General features: G+C 46.7%; 1 pseudogene; it reads left to right on the forward strand.

The window, feature by feature from the left end:
- LOC100418703 (repetin pseudogene) lies at positions 4,190-5,566 on the forward strand (annotated as a pseudogene).

The raw sequence follows: 5,769 nt of genomic DNA on the forward strand, positions 1-5,769 counted from the left end.
ATTTCCTTTGCTTCCCTGTCTTCCTCCAATCTACTGTCCAACTGTTCCGTCAACTTCCCAAGAGGCTGCAACCTCGAGGACCTGAGGCGTTTCACGTGTGCACACATGTGTACACGTCTCTGTACCAGTCAAGATGCTTACGCTTGATGGGAGCAGCTCTGCGCCCGGCACAGTAGCAGACACAAACAAAAGGGGACCCACGCTGTCCTCCAGAACCAAGCAGGGTCTTTTCGAGGATGGGCCAGGCACCCCAAAATCACCCTGGAATTTAAAGACTATAAACAAGCAAGTGAGGAGGCCGGGCGCGGTGGCTCACGTCTGTCATCCCAGCACTTTGGGAGTCCGATGCAGGCAGATCACCTGAGGTCAGGCGTTCGAGACCAGCCTGGCCAACGTAGTGAAACCCCGTCTGTACTAAAAAAAACAAAAATTAGCCAGGTGGGGTGGCGGGTTCTTGTAACACTAGCTACTTGGGAGGCTGAGACGGCAGAATGGCTTGAACACGAGAGGCGGGGGTTGCGGTGAGCTGAGATCACGCCACTGCTCTCCAGCCTAACCAACAGAGCAAGACTCCGTCTCAAAAAAAAAAAAAAAAGGGAAGTGAGGATGATTTTGGGGACAGCAGGGCTGTGACGCTCTCCTCCGCCCAGGAGGCCACCCAGACTCTATAGGGAAAGAGAAACAGCTGAGTTGCTGGATTCCAACCTGGGTGGGAAACAGCTGAGTTGCTGGAAGTTGCACCAGAATGCCAGCCGTGAAATCCAGCAGCACTGATTACAACCTGGGTGGGAAACTCCATTCTCAGCCACTTGGGGTTAGCCCTGAACGGCAGGAGCCCGTGGAAAGAAAAGTCTCTGCTCTGATTTCGATCATTTTTATGACCTTTAGTCGATTTAATGTTCTAGGTTGGAGGTTGGGGGGGAGTGGGTTACGGTGTTATTTCCTTTCCTTTTGTTCATGTGTAATTAGAAATCCGGAGTGAGCAGAAGGACAGAGGAAAGAAATCTAATACAGTCAGAGGAAGGTGAGGTGCTTTTTTTGTTGTTGTTGTTTTTGTTTTGTTTTCTGGGATGCATCAATTTAAGTGATATCAGCACTTAACAAATAGCCAAGGGGACCCCATCTTCGCTGCAAACGCAGGGGGGCCTTCCAGCCTCCACACACATGGTCAGCACACGCCAGACACAGTTTGAAACAGAGCTTTACACTTTGGGACCTCCTCTTTCTCTCCGATGTATGACCTCCATCTATTTAAAATGTTAACCAATAGAGAACACACACACACACACACACACACGTGTGCCGATCTCAAATTACATATCACATGTGAGTCTTCGCATTTTAAAAGGTGATAAAAATGTCAGTAATATCCTACATGCCAGCCACTCCAAAGATCCCCCACCCTCTAACGTCTACAAGGCTTGGGTTGTCTTAACATAATTCCACGCGGAAACCAGGCTGCTGTGGAAAACACCAGTTCTCGAGATGGCAGCACACACAGAGGCTTTTGTTGAAAAGAGCATGAAAGAGAGGCTTGTCCAAGGTCTCCAGAGACCGGCTTACCGACCGTGATGAACACACACACCCGAAACTGCTGTTTTGACTTTGCGTTCATCATGAGTTCGTTGTGGTTACATTTATTTAAACCTTTGGGAAGTGGATAGATAGGGAGATAGGCAGGTAGGTAGATAGACAGATGATAGGCAGAGACAGAGAGAGACATGATCGATGGATAGATATATGGACATATAGATACATAGATACAGAGATAGATACATAGATGATAGACAGAGACAGACAGGGAGATGATGATAGGTAGATAGATAATGCATAGATAGATAGATAGATGATACATAGATACATAGATGATAGATAGAGATATAATCAATAGATGATAGATTGATAGATAGATACATAGATAATTAGATAGATAGATAGATAAGTAGATATAGATAGATGATAGAGACAGAGAGAGATAATCAATAGATAGATGATAGACAGAGACAGAGAGGAAGATGATAGATAGATAGACAGATAATACATAGATAGATAGATGATAGAGATATAATCAATAGATGATAGATAGATAGATAGATAAGTAGATATAGATAGATGATAGAGACAGAGAGAGATAATCAATAGATAGATGATAGACAGAGACAGAGAGGAAGATGTTAGACAGATAGATAGACAGATTATAGCTATAGATAGACGATAGATAGATGATAGATAGATAGATACATAGAGATACATAGATGATAGATAGATGGTAGACAGATAGATATCTAGATAGACAGATATAGATAGATGATAGAGAGAGAGGTGATCAATAGATAGATGGATAGATAGAGATGGATAGATACATAGATAATAGATAGATAGATGATAGACAGATACACAAACAGAGATAGATAGATACATAAACGATAGATAGATGGTAGATATAGATTGATAAATAAATGAAAAATGATTAGATACATAGATAGATGTGGATAGCCAGATGGAGAGATGACAGATAGATGATAGGTGGATAGATATATGATAGATACAGGTGATAGAGACAGAAGCATAGATATATATGTACGTATATATACACATTATAATATGTACATATTGTATATACTATAAATTGTATACACTATAAATTGTATACATTATAAATCTTCATATATGTGCATATATGTTGAGTATATATGTATACATATATACTAACCATATACTAAACAAACTGAATATATAAACTTTAGTATATGTGCATATGTGTTTAGTATATATGTATATATATGCTAATTATATATGAAACATACTGAATACATTTTTAGTATATGTACCCATATACATATATACTAAAGTATACATATATGCTACAGTTTATCATGTATATATAATATATATGTTTAGTATCTATGTATACAGAGATACTGACATTGTGTACATACACATATATACATGGATATAAAGTACCATATATGTACGTATACACTCTACATTTTATAATGTATTTATACTAAAATTAATAATGTATATGTACATATACATATAATGTATATATAAATAAGATACAGGTATAATGCCTATGATCTAACAATTAAAATACATTAAAATTAATTTCATAACAGTTTTTAACTTACAGAAACATTGCCAGATAATACAGAGAGACTTCATATACCCCACAACCTGCCTGGCCTATTCTTAGCATCTTATATCTGTAGGGTACAATCGTCACAACTGATGAACCAATATTGACGCATTATTAATGTGCTGTTATGGTTAAAAGGATAGTTCAGGCTGAGATCTAGAGTGGTGGTCTCCAGCATAGGCTACAGGCATAGAACTTCACAGAGCTAAAAGTAGAGGGTGGTACTGGGGAGGGCGTGAGAAGCACACGGTTCCATTCGTCTATCTGTAAGGAAAGCTACCAGGCAACAGGCACACATGCACACACACACACACACACACATATTATAGATGCCTCTGTTTACATCATCAGGCTCTGCTATCAAAAGGCCACCTTCTTGATGACAGTGGGAACAGGTGCAGGTGCAGGTACAGATACAAATACAGGTACAGGAGCAGGTATAGAGTACAGGTGCAGGTGCAGGCACAGGTACAAACACAGGTACAGGTGTAAGTTCAGGTACAGACGCAGGTATAGAGTACAGGTGCAGGGCAGGTACAGGTGAGGGTTCAGGTCAATTGCAGGTACATGTGAGGGTGCAGGTGCGTCAGGCTCTGCTGCCTTCTAGATGGGAGTGGGAACAGGTACAGGTGCACGTGCAGGTGAAAGTGCAGGTACTGGTACAGATTGAGGTGCAGGTGCAGATATAGGTGAGGTGCAGGTAAAGGTACAGGTGCAGGTACAGGTACATGTTACTTTAGGCAGCAAAAGGGACTTTCTACATGTGATTAAAGATCTTGGGTTTGGGAGAATATTCAGGTGCAGGTACAGTTTTGGGTGCAGGTACAGGTTCAGGGTCAAATACAGGTGCAGGTATACAGGTGCATTTGCAGGTACAGGTGCAGGTTCACGTGTAGGCTCAGGCACAGATACAGGTACAGATACCAGTGCAGACACAGGTACAGGTACAGGTACAGGTACAGGTATAGATGTAGGTGCTGGTAAAGATAAAGGTGGAGGTGTCGATACAGGTATAGGCATACGTAAAAGTACAGCCACAGGCAGGCGGAGGTGCAGATGTCACTGCAGGGACAGGGAGAGGCGGAGGTGCAGATGTCACTGCAGGGACAGGGACAGGGGGAGGTACAGATGTCACTGCAGGTACAGGGACAGGTGGAGGTGCAGATGTCACTGCAAGGACAGGGACGGGGAGGTGCAGATGTCACTGCAGGGACAGGGACAGGTGGAGGTGCAGATGTCACTGCAGGGACAGGGACAGGTGGAGGTGCAGATGTCACTGCAGGGACAGGGACAGGTGTGGGTGCAGATGTCACTGCAGGGACAGGGACAGGTGTGGGTGCAGATGTCACTGCAGGGACAGGGACAGGTGTGGGTGCAGATGTCACTGCAGGGACAGGGACAGGTGTGGGTGCAGATGTCACTGCAGGGACAGGGACAGGTGTGGGTGCAGATGTCACTGCAGGGACAGGGACAGGGGGAGGTGCAGATGTCACTGCAGGTACAGGGACAGATGGAGGTGCAGATGTCACTGCAGGGACAGGGACAGGGGGAGGTGCAGATGTCACTGCAGGTACAGGGACAGGGGGAGGTGCAGATGTCACTGCAGGGACAGGGACAGGTGGAGGTGCAGATGTCACTGCAGGGACAGGGACAGGTGTGGGTGCAGATGTCACTGCAGGGACAGGGACAGGGGGAGGTGCAGATGTCACTGCAGGGACAGGGACAGGGGGAGGTGCAGATGTCACTGCAGGTACAGGGACAGGGGGAGGTGCAGATGTCACTGCAGGGACAGGGACAGGTGTGGGTGCAGATGTCACTGCAGGTACAGGGACAGATGGAGGTGCAGATGTCACTGCAGGGACAGGGACAGGTGGGGGTGCAGATGTCACTGCAGGGACAGGGACAGGGGGAGGTGCAGATGTCACTGCAGGGACAGGGACAGGTGTGGGTGCAGATGTCACTGCAGGTACAGGGACAGATGGAGGTGCAGATGTCACTGCAGGGACAGGGACAGGGGGAGGTGCAGATGTCACTGCAGGTACAGGGACAGGGGGAGGTGCAGATGTCACTGCAGGGACAGGGACAGGTGTGGGTGCAGATGTCACTGCAGGTACAGGGACAGATGGAGGTGCAGATGTCACTGCAGGGACAGGGACAGGTGGGGGTGCAGATGTCACTGCAGGGACAGGGACAGGGGGAGGTGCAGATGTCACTGCAGGGACAGGGACAGGTGGAGGTGCAGATGTCACTGCAGGGACAGGGACAGGTGTGGGTGCAGATGTCACTGCAGGGACAGGGACAGGTGGAGGTGCAGATGTCACTGCAGGGACAGGGACAGGGGGAGGTGCAGATGTAACTGCAGGGACAGGGACAGGTGTGGGTGCAGATGTCACTGCAGGGACAGGGACGGGGAGGTGCAGATGTCACTGCAGGGACAGGGACAGGGGGAGGTGCAGATGTCACTGCAGGGACAGGGACAGGTGGAGGTGCAGATGTCACTGCAGGGACAGGGACAGGGGGAGGTGCAGATGTCACTGCAGGGACAGGGACAGGTGTGGGTGCAGATGTCACTGCAGGGACAGGGACAGGTGTGGGTAAGCATATACCTCCTCCACGTTTGCACACTCAGG

Source organism: Homo sapiens, chromosome Y, assembly GCF_000001405.40.
Source record: "Homo sapiens chromosome Y, GRCh38.p14 Primary Assembly".
Lineage (NCBI taxonomy): Eukaryota > Metazoa > Chordata > Mammalia > Primates > Hominidae > Homo > Homo sapiens.